This window comes from Homo sapiens, chromosome 12, assembly GCF_000001405.40.
Source record: "Homo sapiens chromosome 12, GRCh38.p14 Primary Assembly".
In the NCBI taxonomy this organism is placed as follows: Eukaryota; Metazoa; Chordata; class Mammalia; order Primates; family Hominidae; genus Homo; species Homo sapiens.
This window is the reverse complement of record NC_000012.12, coordinates 100,385,041-100,407,149: the sequence shown is the minus strand read 5'-3', so window position 1 is coordinate 100,407,149 and position 22,109 is coordinate 100,385,041. Positions and strand designations below refer to the sequence as shown.

General features: G+C 42.6%; 1 protein-coding gene and 1 non-coding gene across 3 annotated transcripts in view; both read right to left on the bottom strand.

Annotated features, from left to right (window-relative positions):
• SLC17A8 (solute carrier family 17 member 8) overlaps positions 1-22,109 on the bottom strand; it is a 64,982-nt gene that overhangs the window by 14,906 nt on the left and 27,967 nt on the right. Inside the window, exons 3-9 of one of the 2 annotated variants that reach the window (NM_139319.3) lie at positions 16,031-16,149; positions 13,667-13,781; positions 10,733-10,820; positions 5,287-5,373; positions 4,671-4,810; positions 4,405-4,554; positions 2,980-3,112 (exon numbers count right to left, since the gene is read on the bottom strand). In NM_139319.3, the coding sequence (NP_647480.1) occupies positions 2,980-3,112; positions 4,405-4,554; positions 4,671-4,810; positions 5,287-5,373; positions 10,733-10,820; positions 13,667-13,781; positions 16,031-16,149 (832 nt within the window). The remainder of the gene's footprint in view (positions 1-2,979; positions 3,113-4,404; positions 4,555-4,670; positions 4,811-5,286; positions 5,374-10,732; positions 10,821-13,666; positions 13,782-16,030; positions 16,150-22,109) is intronic. The other variant, NM_001145288.2, reaches the window with a different exon arrangement.
• LOC124903108 (small nucleolar RNA U13) lies at positions 4,900-5,005 on the bottom strand. The gene has a single exon (XR_007063645.1). It is a non-coding gene; the product is annotated as a small nucleolar RNA U13 (small nucleolar RNA).

Here is a 22,109-nt window from a genome sequence, read left to right as displayed (position 1 = left end):
GGAGAAAAAAAGCAGCATTAACATTTGTTGAGAACTTTTTATAGGTTGAACACCGCACTAGGTGCATTCATACGTTGTATCATTTAACTCTCATAACTATCCTCTGAAGTAAATATTATTATGTAATTTAAAGATGAGAACTGTTGGCTCTGAGAATTTAGAAATTGACCCCCCTCTCTCCATCTCCATTGCCACCTCATTTGTCTAAGCCACCATCTTCTCTAGACAGGACAACTGAAATCACCTCCTACCTGGTCTCCCTTCTTTTACTCTTGTACCCTGCATAATTCCCCAGATTAAAAATAAATAAGCAAGGCCAGGCGAGGTGGCTCATGCCTGTAATCCCAGCACTTTGGAAGGCCGAGGCGGGCGGATTACTTGAGGTCAGGAGTTTGAGACCAGCCTGGCCAATATAGTGAAACCCTGTCTCTACAAAAATACAAAAGATTAGCCAGGCATGGTGGCCCATGCCTGTAATCCCAGCTACTCAGGAAGCTGAGGCAGGAGAATCACTTGAACCCAAGAGGCGGAGGTTGCAGTGAGCTGAGATTGCACCACTGCACTCCAGCCTGGGTAACAGAGCGAGACTCTGTCTCAAAAAAAAAAAAAAATGAGATCATATCCATTCCGTGCTTTAAATCATCTGCATCTCAATGTACTTCAAATAAAACCCAAGCTCTGCATACGCCGACAAGGCCTGCCATGATCTGACCCTAGAAAAACATCCCGATCCCGTCTCCCGTCACTCAGCCATTCTGACTCCCCTTCCTTCTATTCTCACACAGGCCACATTCCTGCCTGCCCCAGGGTCATTGCACATACTATTCCCTCTGCCTAAAATCTTTTCCTGAGAGAGCTGCAATAAGGCACCACATGATGAGTTGCCAATCTAGCCATGTGGACATATTCAGAGGGATCACTGGAGAATGGCATGGCTTTAAGGAAACATAAGAGGAGAAGAATTGAGCTGGATGTATAGAGAGGACTGGATTGAGAGGTGAAGGTGAGAACTCACAGGGAAAGAGAAAGGGAGTGGGCAAAGTCAGAGACAGAAAGATATGTTCAGGGCTTGGGTGAGGGCTGTTCAGCTGGAGCAGAATTTTATCATTAGAAGGGTGAGGCTTTGGCTACTGTATTAGTTTTCATTTTATAAATGTTTTATTTTTTAATAGAGAAAAGTTCTCACTATTGCCCTGACTGATTTCGAACTCCTGAGCTCAAGTGGTCTGCCCGCCTCAACCTCCCAAAGTGCTAGGATTGCAGGAGTGAGCCACTGCACCCTGCCTACCGCTGTGTTAGTTTTCATTTGCTGCTGTAATAAATTACCACAAACTCAGTGGCTCAAAACAACACAAATATCAAGTATCTGCTGAGGGATAGACTTAGGGGTCTTTAAGATCTATTCCAATGATTAGATGTCACCTCTAAAATACTCTCTGCACTATTGTACAGTTCTGGAGGCCAAAAATCCAAAATGGTACAGGGCTAAAGTCAAGGCAGCAGCCTACAGAGTTGCATTCCTTCTAGAGGTGCTATGGCGGAATCTCTTCTTGTCTTCTCCAGCTTCTAGGGTCTGCTTGCATTCCTTGGTTTGTGGCTGCATCACTCTGACTCTTGCCTCCACCATCACATCTTCTTTTCTGACTCTGACCCTCCTTCCTCCTTTTATAAGGATTATTGTGATTATATTGGGCCCACCTAGATAATGCAGGATAAACTCCCATCTCAAGAACCTCAATTTAATCCCACCTGCAAAGTCCCTTTTGACATGTAAGGAAACATATTCACAGCTTCTGAGGATTAGGACATGGGCATTATTCTAGCTGCTACAGCTCTCTTGGAGAGGACTTGAATGCAATGTCCCAGAGCTTCACCTCCTGCCCACCAGATAGCAGGCCTATATCCGCTAACCCTCAGTCCTCTACAAGAAAGTTCAAGCTAAGGTCAGGCCCACACATCCCTGCCTGGGACCAGCAGTCAAGGAACTGGGAGAACAGGTGCCAACAGACTCTTAGGCTTTCTTCCCGAAATGCTATGGGATCAGATCATGCCTGCTCCTGTGTCCCTCGGTATAGTCTTCACTTCTAAATGTGCCAGACCTAGCTATCTGTCAGAGCATACGCAATCCGTCCCTTTCAACTTAATATCACAGTTGTGAGCTCTTGCCCATAGGTGGCGCTATCCTCTACCTCCTGCTCGCTCATCCTGACTAGTCCTCCAGAGGGGTAGCCGCAAACTAAGAGCTTTGGCGGTAGGCTCCGGCCTACCTGATACCTTGCAGGGATCTGCTACTTGAGCAAGTCCCTTTATTTTACCTCTGTTTCCTCATTGCAAATTGCATATAGTAATAGTACCTGCTCCACATGGTGGTTATGAAGATTAAATAAAATAATGTATGTAGAAGATTTAGCTTAGTGTCTGGCACAGAAAGCATTCAATAAATGTTAATTTTAAAAGCTAAACAAAAAAGATGAGTTTTTTAAAAAGCACTCATGAACATTGTAGGGGTTCACAATTACTTTCGCCTACCTCTTTTGGGAAATCACCTAACATTCACTTTGTCTTTACAAAATTAAAACATAAAGCAGGAGCTAAATAAAATCAAGAAAGAGAATGGTGTGTGTGTGTGTGTGTGTGTGTGTGTGTGCATATATCCCATGCACAAGCATAGGCTAGGAGGAAAGACTACTTTTCTTCTGTTTCTTACCAAAACATATGGATAGGTAGAAAGGTAAGCAGAGAAGGGAATAAACTACATAAGCAAACAATAAATGTGGAAGGATGTATGGAAAGGTCCCAGCTGGATGACCTCTTGGCAGCACTGTGATGGACAACACTCAAGTGTCTGCTGAGGGACAGACTTAGAGGTCTTTAAGATCCACTCCAATGACTAAATGTCACTTCTTAATATATGCTCTGCAGTTCAGTTTACCCTAATTCTACAAAAGCTGCCTAAGCCATCTATGAAATCCACAGTACCTCCACAGTTCATGATTTTTCTGACAGCAGTTGTGGTTAAAATTTGTCTGCTTCTTAAATAATCAGCCAATTGTCCTCCAATAGGTACAACGATTGTCATAACCATGTGTGGGACTGCTGACAAGAGACCCACCTGGAAGGGAAAGAAACAGTAAGCAGTTTGTCATTATTTCTGAGAGAGGGGCCTCCCTAATTCCCTTGCCCACCTCCACTCCACAGCCCCCCTACCTACCACCACCAAATTTAAGCATCTAATTATGTGGGAGCTGGGTAGGCCTGAATTTCATAATAAATAAATGATGAATGAGCGAATGATTTTAGACCTATCTGTGTCCTCTACCAGATTGGAAGCTCCTTGAGGGCAGCGATGACTTTTATTCATCACAGAGGGCATGGCACATGGGAGATAAAGCACTTGGCACCCAGTGAGCACTGATGACTGATGACAGCCACCATTTCATGATTATGCCAGCTCTTCCATGGTCACTTCTGACAGTATCTGTAGCTAGGCAGACATTTGTGTTTGCTCGGCTGCTGTTCTTTCCCTTGTAGGAAAGAGGTTTATCTTATGATGATGGTTGATGATTCACTATCCACACCCTTCCTCCCTAAAACACAATTGGCTTGATGATAATGTCTGGGAGCATTGAAAGAGGTTCTTTCTTTTTTTTCTGTTTATTTTTTCTTCTTCTTTTTTTTTTTTAGACAGAGTCTTGCTCTGTTGCCCAGGCTGGAGTGCAGTGGTGCAATCTCGCCTCACTGCAACCTCTGCCTCCTGGGTTCAAGTGATTCTCCTGTCTCAGCCTCCTGAGTAACTAGGATCACAGGTGTGCATCACTACGCCCAGCTAATTTTTGTATTTTTAGTAGAGGCAGGGTTTTGCCATGTTGGTCAGGCTGGTCCTAACCTCAGGTGATCCGCCAGCCTTGGCTTCCCAAAATGCTGGGATTATAGGCGTGAGCCACCACGCCTGGCAGAAAGAGGTTCTTTCTAACCCATTGCAAGCAATGATTGTTACTGCTATAGCCACCATTATGGAGAAGGGGTGTTCTGCAAAATGAATGGTAAGGTTCTTACTGCTACTCACTGAGTAGCTTACAGGAAAAAAAGAAAACCCACACCCTCAAATCTTTTTATCCTTGCCTAATATGCCGTCCTTGAGCTAGCTTCAAAAACACTCTAAGATTGGGTACAACATAAATCTTTAAAGCAGCTTAATACGGCTCTGATCCTTGCTAAGAAGAAATTAAACAGCTATGCATACTATGCATAGAATGTATAACTTGTCTGACAGCCAGGCTATTAGGTGTCACAGAACTGTTATGAATTATGATCAGCAATTTAATTATTTTATCATACAAAGTTATTCTCTGTAGAATCAAGAGATTTAAAGTTCAAAAATATTTGGAGCATCTGTGTGTTTACCTTACTTATTGCAAATCCAAAGACCTCTTCAAAATAAGCAGGCTGACTTATGAGGAGCAAATAAAAGGTCCAGCTTCTGCAAAAATTTGCCACAATGATTGCATAAACCGGCAAAGATGTGAAAAATCTTTTCCATGGGGTACTAAATTTCTAGGGAGTAAAAATACCATGATATTTTTAGTAAAGATATTGACATTTTTTCTGTAAGAAGGCAACACAATCACTTATGAAAAAAGGTAAGTCTTCATCTGACTTTTTATACTTACACTTAGACTAACCACGTTGGCCCCCTCTCCTATGCTTGTCTCTATATAGGTCTTCTCCTCATTGGATATTGTTGGATGAGCTGCTGGGCACTCATAGGCCTGCAACAGCCAAAACATGTACCAAATAATCCCAAACATGCCTGCAGTTAAAAAAGAAAAGGCTGGGTTATATGGTCTCATTTTCTTCCGTTTCTAAATTTTTCAATTTTTACCATATATATTTTTTTCAGGTAAAATGGGTAATGTACCAATGTTGTAACAAGGTTTGAGGGACTCAGACATCTCATACATGCACGTGAACACCCAATTATCACATTTATGAACTACAAAAGGATCTTTACAATATTTCCAAATGGCAGTATGTTCAGCTAGGGGTAAGTATTTTGTTGACGTTCCTCTTGTTAACTGGTATTTAAAGAAAGACAATGTTCTACTTATTTTTTTAGGTCAACTTTAATATAAATATTAATCAAATCATAGATAAAGTATTCCATTTATACAATAAACTTGTTTTAGTAATCTCTATTTTGATGTAATGAACTCTGAGCCAAACCCATATGCAGTAAAATACCATCTCTATGAGTCACATGTGAACTTGTGAAGTCAAATCACTCACCATAAATATAAAAGACAGAGGACCATCCAATGTACTGCACCAACACCCCAGCCAGGGGCATGGCAACCACTGCCCCTGCATAGGAACCTGGAACAAGAAAAGATTGAGGGAATCTGACCAATCATCATGCAAGCCTTTTCAGCTCATTTAGAATTCATATGGTAAAGTCAGGAATTAATCAAACTGAGCAGGAATCAGACTGCCTCCGTGCAGAGACAGGCAAACTCCCAGTGTGCCACAGAACAGGGCTTCCAGGAGAGGAAGGTCACCAAGATGCCCTTTAACTTCATCCAGAGACCACACAGGATTTAGACAAAGATTGCTCCAGCATCACAGTTTGGAATTACATGAGAGAATGGAATCAGAAGATGAAAAAAATCTAAGAGAAATTTTGAAAATTCAACCAGGCGCAATATTGGAAGCTAAAAAGAGCAAGCAAAGGAACATACAAAATTTGCTTAGGAGGACTGGGAGGATTCTCATCCAGATCTTTAAATGAGGGACATTGAATTATTTAAAAGATCATGATTTTTAAAGTCTTGATTAAAAAAAAAAAGGAGAGGGTTGCCAGGCACGGTGGCTCACACCTGTAATCCTAACACTTTGGGAGGCTGAGGTGGACAGATCACTTGAGGCCAGGAGTTCAAGACCAGCCTGGTCAACATAGCAAAACCCCATCTCTACTAAAAATACAAAAAATTAGCCTGGCATGGTGGCGCGTGCCTGTAATCCCAGCTACTTGGGCGGCTGAGGCACGGGAATTGCTTGAACCCGTGAGGCGGAGGTTGCAGTGAGCCAAGATCTCACCACTGCACTCCAGCCTGGGTGACAGAGTGACTGTATCAAAAAAAAAAAAAAAAAAAAAGGTGAGGGGTGAACAATTAAATTCCAGATGGCAAGAGGGCTGCTGTCTCCATTCAGCTCCTGAATGGGTACATTTTTACATGTATTTCTTACTTTGTAAAACTTAACCTTGCAAATGCTTACCTGTGTGTGAATGTTTATCTTGTCTAGACAAGATAATTGTGACTAGAGGCAGTGAGCTGACCTCTGCTATCCTCTGGACGTCTGGTAGGGAAAGATGAGCCCTGTGACCTCCCATTATTGGGAGTTATTAGCTGAAAGGAGAAGTTACTCTCTGAAACTCCCCCTGGGCTGTGAATGAAAAAACTCTTGCTTCAGAAAAAGTGAGTGGTGAAAGGAAATTCTATATCCCAGAATTTGATGCTAAGGAAGATCTTTAGGAAATGGGAGGTTGGGGATCTTCCAGAGAAATAGATTAAATCACATCTTTCCAAGGTGAGCCTGACCCTCGGTGAAAGGCCCAGCCTGAGATCTGGAATCTGAACATCATGACACCCGAGGAAGTCAAGAGACTCATTTTCCTCAGAGATAAGATGGGAATGAAATATCCATCTCAAGGGGTTGTTTTGAGATTCAAATAAACTATGTATGTGAAGATGCTTTGTAAGCTATAATGGGTTACACAAATGCCAGCTATTACCGCTATTATCATGTACAGAATGACAACACACTCAAAAAACAATCTCAGGGCTCCTCAAACCAATAAGGTGAGCACTCCAGGCATGTGTTGAAAATGGGCTGCAGGTCTCATTCTGCTGTGCGTGGAGATAGGGTGGCCTTTGTCCCCAGGCCAAATACCCTGGGAGGTGGGGTGGGTGAGTCTGGTTTAGGTAATGCAAAAGAATGCCTGGGACAGGGGCAGGTAGAGAATAACCCCACCAACTAAGATGCACTGAGTGCTTTCTGGGTGCCTAGTACCATGCTAAGTATACTGTACCTATGACTTTGTTTAACTCTCCTTCAACCTGACAAGGTAAGTACCAATATGACCCCCATTTTATAAGGAGAAAGCCAGGCTGGAGGAGGGGAGGCAGATTGCCTGAGGTCACACAGGTAGAAGTGACAAGTCACAGGACAGGAGCCCAGGTCTGTGGAACCCCAAAGCCCTTACTCTTATTTAATCATTCAGTCATGCCTCCTTCACTCAAAAGCACCTAATAATTCCCCTTACATAGTAAAAAGCATTCTATCATTGGGGAAACTTTACAATGTGATATGGCTTGGCTCTGTGTCCCTACCCAAATTGCATCTCAAATTGTAATCCCCATGTGTTGAGGGAAGAACCTGGTGGGAGGTGACTGGGTCATGGGGGCGGATTTCCCCCGTGCTGTTCTTACGATAGTGAGTGAGATCTCATGAGATCTGATGGTTTAAAAGTGTGGCACCTTCCCCTTCACTCTCTCTCTCTCTCTTCTGCCACCATGTAAGATGTGCCTTGCCTCCCCTTTTGCCTCCTGCCGTGATTGTAAGTTCCTTGAGGCCTCCCCAGCCATGCAGAACTGTGAGTTGATTAAACCTCTTTCTTTTATAAATTACCCAGTCTCAGGTGGTTCTTTATAGTTATGTGAAAACAGACTAATACACAATGTGACCTAAACTACCCTTCTTTTCTATCAGAAAAAATCTTCCTCATCCTTTTAGACATTCTCCAATGTCAGTTCCTATTAGACACAGCCCCTTGAGCAAACAACAGGGCACTCAGCCCTTACTGCAGCTGCCCCCAGCTGCTCCCAGACTGCCCTGGGGAGCAGACTGCAGCTCAGTCCCCTGGGCCTCAGATGATTGTTGAATGGTATGCAAAGAAGGAAGAACAGAACTGGGGGTGAGAAAGAGCCCCCGGTTCGGCCCTCACTAGCTGTAAGAATTTAAATCTTTTTTCCTCCCTCAGCCTCAGTTTCCTCAACTATAAAACAATGGGTTGTAACTGGATGTATTAGTCTGATTTCATGCTGCTGATAAAGACAAACCCAAGTGTGAGCAATTTACAAAAGAAAGAGGTTTAATTGGACTCACAGTTCCACGTGGCGGGGGAGGCCTCACAATCATGGCAGAAGGCATAGAAGAGCAAGTCACATCTTACGTGGATGGCGGCAAGCAAAGAGAGAGCTTGTGCAGAGAAACTCCCGTTTTTAAAACCATCAGATCTCATGAGACCCATTCACTACCACGAGAAAAGCATGGGAAAGACCCACCCCCATGATTCAATCAATTCCCACCAGGTCCCTCCCATAACACATGGGAATTATGGGAGCTACAAGATGAGATTTGGGTGGCGACAGAGCCAAACCATATCACTGGATGTTTTCTAGAATCCCTTCTAACTCCAATATCTTTTGAGATTAAGAATTTATACACTCCAAGCCTGGGTTTCCTTCTTCCACATTTTCCTTTGGCTGTTCTTTGAAACCAAGGCCACACCTTAGCTGGGACATGTAATGAGGCCTGTGTCCTTGATCAGGTAACTTTCCTTGAGAGTCAAACCATTTCTTAAATCAGCCCTTTTAGGGCTATAAAAACACACTAAGAATGGGGAGTGGCTGCTAGTCATGCTCATTTTGCTGGCAAATCAAAATGAAAGGTCTTACAAATAAACCATCCAAAGAAAGTAAGGTCAAGGATCTAACAAGCCACAAGGCCAGCTGGGGTGAGTCTTATCCTCTTCTAGAGTTGGTATAAGCACAGTAGTAGGGATGGAGATGCTTAAACTGCAAATGAGCGGATGGAGATGGTTTCTAAGGACAAGAGACACTGAATATGTAAAGACATCTCAGCTGAGCATGCAATTCCCAACGAGGCACAAAGTAGGCATAGCGGTGAATACCTCACACCACATTCTCAGGATTACTTTATTATTATTTCAAGGAGGTAAAAGGCCAGCAGGAAGAGGAAAATTAAAACATATGCAGAAATAAATAGAAAGCTATCTTTCTCCCTTTAGCAAAGAAGAATATCTTAGGAAAAGTGTGCTAGTTTGAAAATCAGACAGACCTAAGCTGTAATTCACACTGCCTAGGCCACACTGTGACTTTTGTGGTCTAAGGTACTTTTTTTTTTTTTTGAGACGGGGTCTTCCTCTGTCACCCAGGCTGGAGTACAATGGTGTGATCTCGGCTCACTGCAACCTCCACCTCCGGGCTCAAGCGATCCTCCCACCTTGGCCTCCTGAGTAGCTGGGACCACAGACATGAGCCACCGCACCCAGCTAATTTTTTGTATTTTTGGTAGAGATGGGGTTTCACCATGTTGCCCAGGTTGGTCTCAAACTCCTAGGCTCAAGCAATCCTCCACCTCAGCCTCCCAAAGTGCTGGGATTACAGGTGTGAGCCACCATGCCTGGCTGGTCTAAGGTACTTTTACCTTCATGGGCCCCTTCCCCCGACACATTTACCACTGTGTTGATGGCAGCGGCATGTGCTGTTGTTGTTCTGTTGTTGATTGATTCCTAGGGACCCAGCCACACCTAGAGAGGCCTGTCCCACAGGGGTAGCTTGGAGATGGCAACCTCAGCAAGGTGAAGTTTGGAGATGCAGGAATTAAAGTCACATACTACTTGGGGGCTACTCATTTACTTTCAGATAAGATGGATGGTCTCTACTTCTTATTATCTGGGATATAATGACAAAAATTAATTTACATTTCTATATGACAATGTGTACATGGTAGGAGCGTGAAGTAAGGAAAGTTCCAGATCAACAGTCAGGTCTTGTTCTAGCTCCATGATCTTGGGCAAGTCACTGAACTTTAGTTTCATATAAAAAGAAGAGGCGTGGGATGCTTGATGATCCCATCTTTCCACTTTTGTCCTTAGCAAATGTCATTTGTTGGCTAATCCAACAACCACTTCCAACCCTTTCTCCCTTCCCCTTCACTCCTGAAGAGGCTGGTGAAGCTAGGCATCTGCTTGCCTAGCCTCCTCTGCATTTAGTAAAGCATATGATACAGTTAGGGCCAAAGAAATTAAAGTGGAAGGTTGGTAGGGGGCTTTGGGAAAGCTTTTGTTTTCCTGATGAAAGGGACAGATGGAATAAGCACAGAAGTAAATAAAAAGCTATGTCTGAGGATAGCAGAGTAGAAAGTCAGAACATGCCTAGGCCCTGGATGGATTTTTGAGCAGCAGAACCAACACTAGCCACCACTCACCTTTAGAATTCTGTTATATAAAATAAATAGACTCATTTTAAGGCCCTTAGTAGGGTTTTCAGTTGCTTGAAGCCAAAAAAGCATTCCATTTCTTTTTTCTTTTTTCTTTTTAGATACAAGGTCTCACTCTGTCACTCAGGCTGGAGTGCTGTGGCCATCATAGCTTAATGCAGCCTCAACCTCCCAGGCTCAAGCAGTCCTCCTGCCTCAGCCTCCCTAGTAGCTAGGATCCCAGGCACACACCTCCATGCTCGGCTAATTTTTTTTTTTTTTTTTAAAGACGAAGTGTCACTATATTGTCCAGGCTGATCTCGAACTCCTGGGCTCCAGGGATCCTCCTGCCTCGGCCTCCCTAAAGTGCTGAGATTACAGGCGTGAGCCACTGCATGAACCCAAAAAAAGCATTCATAAATAAAATTTGTTACGATTCTAATATACCCACCACAAAAAGAGGTTGTGGCCAGTCGGCTTCTCTCCAAAGGTGGTGCCCACTTACTCCACATCCCATGGCAGGCTGGGTAGGTCACACCCTGGCAGAAGAGTTGAAAATAGATTAGTTGATTTGACTGTAGTTTCTGCTTGTGTTTAAAATATGGATGCTGCTTCTTCACACAGGCTACAATATAAAAGCCCAATTTACAGACACTGTTGTAGGTTGAATGTTTGTGTCCCCACCAAATTCCTATGTTAAAACCTAATTCCCAATGTGATGGTATTTGGAGATGGACCTTTGGGAAGTGACTAAGTAATAAGGGTGTAGCCCTCATGAATGAGATTAGTGCCTTATAAAAGAAACTCCAGAGAGCTCCCTCATCCGTTCTGCCATGGGCAGACAAAGAGAAGGTAGTTGTTTATGAACCAGGAAGCTAGCTCTCCCAAGTCACCGATCTGCCAGCACCTTGATCTTTGACTCCTCAGCCTCCAGAACTGTAAGAAATACATTTCTAGGCCAGGAGCGGTGGCTCACGCCTGTAGTCCCAGCACTTTGAGAGGCCGAGGTGGGTGGATCACTTGAAGCCAGGAGTTCAAGACCAGCCTAGCCAACGTGATGAAACCCCATCTCTACTAAAAATACAAAAACTAGTTGGGCATGGTGGTGCATGCCTGTAATCCCAACTACTTGGGAGGCTGAGGCACAAGAATCGCCTGAACCCAGGAGGCAGAGATTGCAGTGAGCTGAGATTGCACCACTGCACTTCAGCCTGGGCAACAGAGCGAGACTGAAAAAAAAAAAAGGCCAGGCACAGTGGCTTATGCTTGTAATCCCAACAGTTTGGGAGGCCGAGGTGGGCGGATCACCTAAGTCAGGAGTTCGAGACCAGCCTGGCCAACATGGCAAAATCCTATCTCTACCAAAAATACAAAAATTAGCCGGGTGCAGTGGCATGTGCCTGTTATCCCAGCTATGCAGGAGGCTGAAGCAGAAGAATCGCTTGAACCTGGGAGGCAGAGGTTGCAGTGAGCTGAGATCACACCACTGCCTCCAGCCTCGGTGACACAGTGAGACTCTGTCTCAAAAAAAAAAAAAAAAAATTCTTTTGTTTATAACCTACCTAGTTTATGGTATTCTGTAGAAGCCCAAATGGACTAAAACAGACACTAAACAGCATGATTGAGCTATTTTGACTCACAGTACAGATGCTGAAATTCAAATACACTTCACATGTAAGCATGGTAGGAGATGGGGGAAAAGGTCTTTATATTTATATTTCATATTATCATAGACTATCAGTGTAGGAAGAGCCTTCCACAATCAGTTGGTCCATCCACTCATTTCAAGATACAGAACCTGAGACTCAGGGCTGTTAAGTGACTAAAATTTAGTCTTCATGGATGCTAATATCGTGTTCTTTCCACTACACGGGTACATCCCAAAGTGTCATATATGTCCCTCTAGTGGGACTAGAGTTGGATTTGAAATGATATAACAACTTACATTTTTAATTATAATATATATACTAGTGTATGTATATTATATACATACACTATATATGATACAGTATATATATACACTATATATATTATATATATACTATATATGTATATATTATATATACATATATACACTAGTATATATGTTATAATTAATCTATATATAATTAAATTTATATATAATTCTACTATATATATGTATGCTTTGAAAAAGATGTAACTAGTGGCTGGGTGTGGTGGCTAACACCTGTAATCCCAGCATTTTGGGAGGCTGAGGTGGGCGGATCACCTGAGGTCAGGAGTTCAAGACCAGCCTGGCCAACATGGTAAAACCCCATCTCTACTAAAAATACAAAAAATTAGCCGGGTGTGGTAACTGGCACCTGTAGTCCCAGCTACTCAGGAGGCTGAGGCAGGAGAATCGCTTGAACCTGGGAGGCAGATGTTGCAACGGGCCGAGATCATGCCACCGCACTTCAGCCTGGGCTACAGAGCGAGACTCTATCTCAAAAAAAAAAAAAAAAAAAAAGGAAAAGATGTAACTAACACATCAAACCCATGATTTCAAAGATGGTATTGCTTAGAGTAATAGGTATCTTTTGTTTTTTGTTTTAAATGAGTCGATCTAGGGGAAAACAATAGGCAAATAATAGTACAAGTTGTACATGGGCATAACAAACTGGCGAAGGTCAGAGGTGAATGACTGTGTTTGGGAAACATTGCTGTATATCGAGGGTTGGCAAACTATGGGCCAATTGGTTCACCATCTGTTTTTGTATAGCCCACAAGCTAAGAATGTTTTTTACATTTTAAAATGGTGAGAAAAAAAATCAAAAGAAGAGTAATATTTAATGGCACACAACAATCATATGAAGTTCAAATTTCAGTTTGTAAAATGTTTAATTGGAACGTAGCCATGCCCATTTGTTTCCATATTGTCTCTGGCTGCTTTTGCACTATAACAGCAGGGTTGAGTAGATGCAACAGACACTGTAAGGCCTGTAAAGTCCAAAATATTTACCTTCTGGCTCCATATCATGCTGCCTCCTTCATTGAATTAAATCTCTGCATCAGACTACACCCTTGAAAATGTACAGATTTATTAATGAATCCACTTAAATTGTTTTAGTGGAATGAGCCTCTGCTATGTGAACTGTAGATTTGGGCTTCAGTTACACTATCTATTAAAATGAAGAGGGTCAGGTTAGATTATCTCTAAGATCATTATGCAAGGGTACTTTATTGTTCATAAATGTAAAATCACACAAGGCATTTTAATTAAAATTCTTGCAATTTTAGCCATTACCAGAGAATGGAAACAGCAGGAAAAGGAAGAAAATATAGAAAAAAACTGAGTAAAGGGGATTTTCTTCAGAAGGTGAATTTTCTAAAGGACTGCGCTGTCTCTAGCAATATCAAAAACTGTAAGGAAAGTATCTCCTACCTCCACTAAACCTTGCAGAATTCTGACACACATGACGCATCCGTAATGCACTCTGGCTGCAGAGGGAATAAACATGTTCAGAGTCGATGTTAAGAAGATGGCAGCTCCAAAGACCCTGGGGGACCAAAGCATTGTGTTATTCGGCAGGTCTGCTGATGGATGTGCTACTTCAGCTAAGCACCAGAAACAAACCTAACAGTTCATGAAAGATCCCTGTGGAAATCCCTGTGGAAAGATCGTACCTGTAATCCCAGCACTTTGGGAGGCTGAGGTGGGTGGATCACCTGAGGTCAGGAGTTTGAGACCAGCCTGGCCAACATGGTGAACCCCATCTCTACTAAAAATACAAAAAATTAGCCAGGCATGGCGGCTGGCACCTGTAATTTGGAGAAATAGATGTGTTAGGGTCTAGTGCACCCCAAGCTAGACTCTTGGGCTTCTTTGATTCCCAAGCTCTGGCCCCTGGACCAACTATGAACAAATTTTTGGTGGCACAGGGATGTCCTGCCTGGATGATGTCCTGAAAAGTTGGAGATTGGCCAGGTTCAGGTAAGCTTGCTAGAGACCTACCATCCTGCCTGGTTCCCCACCGACTGATCTTTTCTGACTGTTACTGTATGTTTGAGGTTGTTTCCTGCTTCCCAGAGTCAGAAACACTGACTATCCAAGAAGCATTGTATGTCCTGGGACCAGCCAAGCACAAGACAGGTTGTGTACCTGTCTTAGCTCCCATTTCCTGGCCAGCTCAGGGTGCCCTGGGAAAAGAGAGCAAGCAGCATTTTCTTCCCCTCTCACTTATGTTGATGATGTTTCCACTCTTTTTATGTGCTGGGAAATTAGATTATGTGTGATTTTTTTTCAAGGCTGAGGTGTAAGCGGTAACCCAGGAAACCATAGCAACCAATATTTTATCACTTTTTAAAAAGAATACAATAGATAACTAACAATAAATAAAAGACATAAATTAGACAAGAACCTAAATAAATATATGCTTATTCCTATTTAGATCTTATGGTAGTGGCTTCCAATTTTTTTACCTTAACCCATAAACAAAATATATTTTATATTGCAACCCAGTCCATACTCATACATACAAATGTAACTGAAACAAGTCTCAAAAACCAATATTTACCCTTATGTGCAATGCATTCAGATATTTTCTATTTTATTCTATTTGATTATCTTTTCTTCTATTTCTCTCTTTTTTAAAAATGCTCATTGGTAAATCATTATATTGTTTTCACAACTATCTAATGAGTTGTGCTTTAGAATTTGAAAAAAAAAACCACTTTTTAAAAATGGAATGCACTTCATGAAATCCATTTATGGAAAGTCATATGGGAAATACAATTGGAAGCGACCTGGAGAGATTTAGTTCACTCCTTTTCTAATACATGATACATTCTACAACATCTCCCCCAAGTGGCCATCCTCCTCTGCTTGAATACCTCCGGTGACAGAGAACTCACTGCTTCTTGAGACAGCTCACTCTGTTCTTGGGTACTTTTAATTGCTCAAACACCCACTACAGAGTCTCAAGGACATTAGAGACACATCTTGCAGTCTAGAGGCAAGCCCCCACCACTCATCTGAGAAAACCTTTATGGTACTGGGTGATATTAACCTAAGATTACAGAATGTCACTGGTCAAGGGGAACTGAAATACAATCTAGTCCAATGTTTCATTTCACAGATGAAGAAACTGAGGCCCAGGGAGGGAAGGAAAGTGACTCAATAGAGGTCACCCAGTGATCCAGTTAGGGGGCAGGAACCATTTCTCCTGACTCAGAGTTGATTGGTCTTTTTACCACATAATCACTTGAAGAGTTGCAAGGTAAATTTAATTGGATGAAAAACGAAATAAAAAGAAACTCTTGACTGGGCGCTGGTGTCTCACACGCCTGCAATCCCAGTACTTTGGGAGGCTAAGGCGGGTGGATCACTTGAGGTCAAGAGTTTGAGATCAGCCTGGCCAACATGGTGAAACCTCGTCTCTACCAAAAATACAAAAGTTAGCTGGGTGTAGTGGTGCACACTTTTAATCCCAACTGTTCAGGAGGCTGAGGAACCAGAGTTGCTTGAATGCCGAGTGGGGTGGGGGAGGGGGTGGGGCAGAGGTTGCAGTGAGCCAAGATCACACCACTGCACTCCAGCCTGGGTGACAGAGTGAGACACCGTCTCAAAAATAAAAATAAAAATAAATTAAGATCAGGGTCATTTGGGATCAGTATCTGTGAATTGCATCTATCCAGATGGCTCCTGTTTTTCATTCTGCACCCCCAAATTGAGAGCCAGCTATGCAGAATTTATAGGTACAAAGCCACATTTCATTGGTTTGTATCATGTTATATCAATTTATCTTACCTGTTAGCAGCAAACTTGTTTGAAATGAAACCACCTGGAATTTGTGTCATAATATAGCCCCAGAAAAAAGATCCATGGATAAGGCCCACTGTTTCTGGATCCCAGTTAAACTGTGCTGTCTGGAAATGAGAAATCAGATATAGTTGTGTTTGTTAGAAAAAGGCTGACAACCATTTTTTACCAATGAGCCTACACAATAATTACCTCATGAGGTCTTTCTTTTTTCATTTATTTAACACATACTTATGGAGGGCATCTTACATACTTGGGGATAGCAGCAAGCAAAAGTCCTGGGCCAGGCGTAGTGGTGTGTGCCTGTAGTCCCAGTTATTTAGGAGGCTGAGGTGGGACCTCAGCCTGGCTTGAGCCTCCTGGCTTGAGCCCAGGAGGTCAAGGCTGCAGTGAGCCAAGATAGTGCCAATGCACTCCAGCCTGGGCAACAGAGTGAAACCCCATCTTAAAAAACAAAACCGGCCGGGTGCGGTGGCTCACACCTGTAATCCCAGCACTTTGGGAGGCTGAGGCGGGTGGATCACGAGGTCAGGAGATCCAGACCATCCTGGCTAACACGGTGAAACCCCATCTCTACTAAAAATACAAAAAAAATTAGCCGGGCGTGGTGGCGGGCACCTGTACTCCCAGCTACTCAGGAAGCTGAGGCAGGAGAATGGCATGAACCTGGGAGATGGAATTTGCAGTGAGCTGAGATTGCACCACTGCATTCCAGCTTGGGCAACAGAGTGAGACTCCATCTCAAAAAAAAAAATGAAACAAACAAACAAAAGTCCCTGCTCTCATAGATTTCACCTTGTAATAAGAGATTATGTACAAATTTAAATATATATGTATTTATATTAATGGTCATGGTGACTCACACCTGTAATCCCAATGCTTTGGAAGGCCTAGGCAAGAGGATTACTTGAGGCCAGGAGCTCAAGACCAGCCTGGGCAACGTGGCGAGACCCCATCTCTACAAAAAATCAAAAATCTAGCCAGCTAGGCCAGGTGCAATGGCTCACGCCTGTAATCCCAGCACTTTGGGAGATAGAGGTGGGTGGATCATTTGAGGTCAGGAGTTTGAGACCAGCCTAGCCAACATGGTGAAATCCCATCTCTACTAAAAATATAAAAATCAGCTGGGTGTGGTGGCAGACGCCTGTAATCCCAGCTACTTGGGAGGCTGAGGCAGGAGAATCACTTGAACCCAAGAGGCAGAGGTTGTAGTGAGCCAAGATCACACCACTACACTCCAGCCTGGGTGACTGAGAGAGACTCCATCTCAATAGTAATAATAATAATAATAATAATAATAATACAAATCTAGCCAGGTGTGGTGGTGTGTGCCTGTAGTCCTAGCTACTCAGGAGGTTGAGATGGGAGGATCCCTGGAACCCAGGAGTTGGTCAAGGTTAAGGTAAGCTACAAACACACACTGCACTCCAGTGGGAGTGACAGAGCAAGCTCCTGTCTCTAAAAATACATATATCTAATGTGTGTGTCTCTCTCTCTATATATATATAATATATATAATGTGTGTGTATATATGTATATACACAGAGAGAAAAAACACAAAATAGCAATGAATGCTAAGGAGAAAATAAAATAGCTTGTGAATAAAACAAAAAATGGGGTTTTGGGGGGCTACTAAGTTATTTACTACATTATTCAGATGCCAGTTTTGTGATAGCACAAAGAGAATTAGAGTCTTAAGTCTCTCATTTCTTAATGAGGACAATAAAGCCCATTCTACCTATCCATAGGATGTGTGGGGATAAATGGCATGAATATTTCTAGTAGGTTATCTCTCTGCTTAGAGATTTTGCATGTAACAGATTAGGATAGTGACTGGCACACAGTGTAGACTCAATAAATGTTAGCAGCCATTACTGATACTATGCTGATGGCAATAGCAACAACACAACCTTCCACAACCCTTAGGCCATTGAAAATGTGATTCTCTAGGGCTGGAATCCCTTTCCTCATATTCTTTCCCAGGTAAAGTAACTCATTCTTTTTAGACTCATTGTAAATGGTCCTTCCTCAGAGGAAACTTCCTGAATCCCGAAAATTGAACTGGTCCCTTTTTCTTGGGCTTGTCTTACAGACCTTTGGTCCCACAGCCATGGCACCAACACAGTGCTGTCTTCAGTGAATGGACATCCACATGTCAATTTCCCACACAGGGCACCAAGAAACTCTAAGATAGCAGCCATGTCCTGTTTGACTTATAGTCTTAGTACCTAAATCAAACGCCTGGGAACATAGAAGGTACAAGTGTGTATTCGCCAAATGAATGAATAAATGAATGGCTTTGTAAAGCTTTTTGATATCAAAATGCAAATATGGAGTAAGAGGGTTCCTAATTATCAACATACTATGTTTTATAAATTTTCATCACTGCTTATCTTATTTTCCTGTCACAAGTTATTACATATTTATCCGCCCATCTGTTCAACGTTCGTCCTGTGCTTCCTGAATGCAATGTTAGGTGCTGGACAGTGTAAATACAGACTCAAACAAGCATTGTCTTTGCCTTCTAGGAGCTCACAGTCCAAGCCACTTTGGCCTATACTCTCTATTTCTCATTTTACGGATTAGAAAGTTGAAGCTCAATGGTAAAAAGGAACTAGCTAGCTATCATTAATTCAAATCAGCTCACCAAATCTGTATTTTGTGTTTATTGTGTAACACGCATAGTTCTATGCACTGGGGTACAGCAGTGAACAGCTGTAGTGACTCCTGCCATTTTGAAGATGCCAGTGGAGATAGCAGGTGATAAACAATTACAGGCAGAGTTAGATGGTAACCAGCAATAAGATGAAAAAATAAAGAAGGGAAGGGAATATGAAGTGTTGGATGGCAGTGTGGTGGGGTAAATTTTAGATAGAACGGCCAGGGAAGTCTTCACTGAGAAGATGAGTTTTAAGTAAAGACCTAAAGAAAGGAAGGGAGCAAGTCATATGGTCATTTGAGATGTGAGCTTTCCAGGCAGAGAAACAGCAAGTACAAGGGACCCAAGGTAGGGTTGTGTCTTGCGTGTTAGAGGAAAAGCAGTATGTCAGTACAGCTGGAGGGTAATGAATGAGGAGGAAGAGAATAGGTGTTAATGCAAGAGAGGTTACAATGATGAAGGGTTCTTTAAGACATCACCGGAACTCTGGCTTTTAAACAAAGAGAAATGAAAACCATTGGAAAATTTGAGCAGAGGTGGAATATGATTTCACTAAGGTGCTTTCTACAGATTTCCTCCTTTAATCTTTAAAACACCTAGAGGTAATTGCAAATGAGGAAACTAAGGCTTAGAGAGATTAGTTTACTTGTCCAAGGTCATACAACTATTTGCAAGGAAAAGGGGACACAAAACCTCTCATCTGCCTAACCCCAAAACACGATATTCTTTCTATTGCTTGGAGAGACTTAATTTTCTCACTAAGGAGAGACAAGACTTCTTTGCCCAGATCCACAGAATTACCTGAGGATCCAAGACAGAGGGAGAACTAGACCCTTTCTCTAACTCCCACTTCAACCAGCTGCTAATTGTCAATCACAACATCCCTTTCTCATGCCTTTCTCTCTGGGGAAATAGTGCTTCTGTCAATCTCTGAAAGAAATAATACATGAAGAAGAGCCCCTAGGCTGCTGAGAACTGACTTTCATTGTCATTTGAGACCCATTAAAACCATAATAGTGGACTAAAGACTTGAATAGACATTTCTCCAAAGAAGACCAATAAATGGCCAATATCTACATGAAGAGGCGGTCAATGTCACTAACCATCAGGGAAATGCAAATCAAAACCACCATAAGACGTCACTTTATACCTGTTAGGATGACCATTATCAAAAACAAAAGACAAGAAGTGTTGGTGAGGATGAAGAGAAAATAAAGCCCTTATATACTGTTGGTGGGAATGGGTGCAGCCACCATGGAAACAGTACAGAGGTTCCTCCAAAACTTAAAAACAGAACGAATGTATGATTTAGCAATCCCACTTCTGGGTATTTATCCAAAAGAGTTGAAATCATGATCCAAAAAGATATTAGTACCCCCATGTTCACTGAAGCATTATTCACAATAGCCAAGACGTGGAAAAAACCTGAATGCCCGTTGACAGATGAATAAAGAAAATGTGGCTGGGCGCAGTGGCTCATGCCTGTAATCCCAGCACTTTGGGAGCCCAAGGCGGGTAGATCACTTGAGGTCAGGAGTTCGAGACCAGCCTGGCCAATGTGGTGAAACCCCGTCTCTACTAAAAATATAAAAATTAGCCTGGCATGGTGGCACATGCCTGTAATCCCAACTACTCAGGAGGCTGGGGCAGGAGAATCGCTTGAACCTGGGAGGCGGAAGTTGCAGTGAGCCAAGATTGTGCCACTGCACTCCAGCCTGGGTGACAGAGTAAGACCCCATCTCAAAAAAAAAAAAAAGGAAATGTGGTATACACACCAATGGAATACTATTCATCTTTTATAAAGAAGAAAATTCTGCAAGATGTAACAACTGGCATGAACCTGGAGGACATTACACTCAGTGAAATGAGCCAGTCACAGAAAGACAAATACTGCATGATTCCACCTACATGACATACCTAAAATAGTCAAATTCATAGACTTGAAGAGTAGAATGATGGTTGTCAGGTGCTGGGGGAGGGGGAAATGAGGAGTTACTAATTAATGGGAAAAAGTTTCAGTCAAGCAAAATGAACACGCTCTAGAGATCTGCTATTCAACATTGTACTTAGAGTCAACCATAATGTATTGTACACTAAAAACTTTATTAAAACAGTAGCTCTCATGTTAAGCATTCTTATCACAATAAAATTTTTTAAAATTATAAATTTTTAAAAAAATGGCCCTGTATATGGACCATCACTATAATAAACCAAACACTGTGTCAGATATTGTGAAAGGCCAAAAAATGGCCCCCAAAAGATATCCACATCAAATCCCCAGGACCTATAAATGCTACCTTATCTGGAAAACAAGTCTTTGCTGATGTGAAAATGTCAAGAATCTTAAAATGAGATATCTGGACTATCCAGCTGGGCCCTAAACCCAATGACAAGTGTCCTTATAGGAGAAAGACAGATGGAGATTTGAGACAAAAGAGGAGACACGCAGAAAGATGTCCACGTGAAGATGGAGGCAGACATGAGAGTGACATTGTCGCACACCGAGGATCTGCTGCAGCCACTAGAAGCTAGAAGAGTCAAGGAAAGATTCTCTGCTAGAGTCTTCAGAGGGCATGAGGTGCTGCCAACACCTTGATTTAGACTTCCGGTCTCCACAGCTCTGAGAGAATAAATTTCTATTGTTTTAAGCCATCAAGTTTGTGGTAATATGTTACGGCAGCCTTAGGGAACTAATATAGGTATTTAATATAGGTTAGCTTATTTGATCTTCAAAGCAGTCCTTTTATTCCCATTTCACAATAAGGGCAATGAGGGTTAGCAAGGAACTTCTAGAAATGTCAGTTCCTGTCTGCTCACACTTCTGAGAGGATTGCACCTTCCCCCGCAACATGGGATTCTCCCCGACTGACTACCACAGCTGACTGGACACCTGAGTAGAGACAGCCAAGCCAGTCAGGTGTGGTGGCTCACGCCTGTAATCCCAGCACTTTGGGAGGCCGGGGTGGACAGATCACCTGAAGTCAGGAGTTCAAGACCAGCCTGGCCAACATGGTGAAACCTCGTCTCTATTTTTAAAATACGAAAATTAGCTGGGCGTTGTGGCATGCACCTGTAATCCCAGCTACTTGATAGCCTAAGGAGTAGAATCGCTTGAACCGGGGAGGTGGAGGTCGCAGTGAGCTGAGATCATGTCACCGCACTCCAGCCTGGGCAACAGAGGAAGATTCTGTCTCAAAAAAAAAAAAAAAAAAAAATGTTTAAGACAGCAAAGCCATAGGCTAGGCTCAGCCAGTCAGCCTCTCCCTCTCTCTGTGTCTCTGTCTCTTTCTCTTTCTCTCTCTCTCTCTCTCTCTCACACACACACACACACAGAGAGAGAGAGAGAGACAGCAACCCAAACCCACAGAGATTCTAGTTAGACAATAGTGCACTCTTGAACCCAAATAA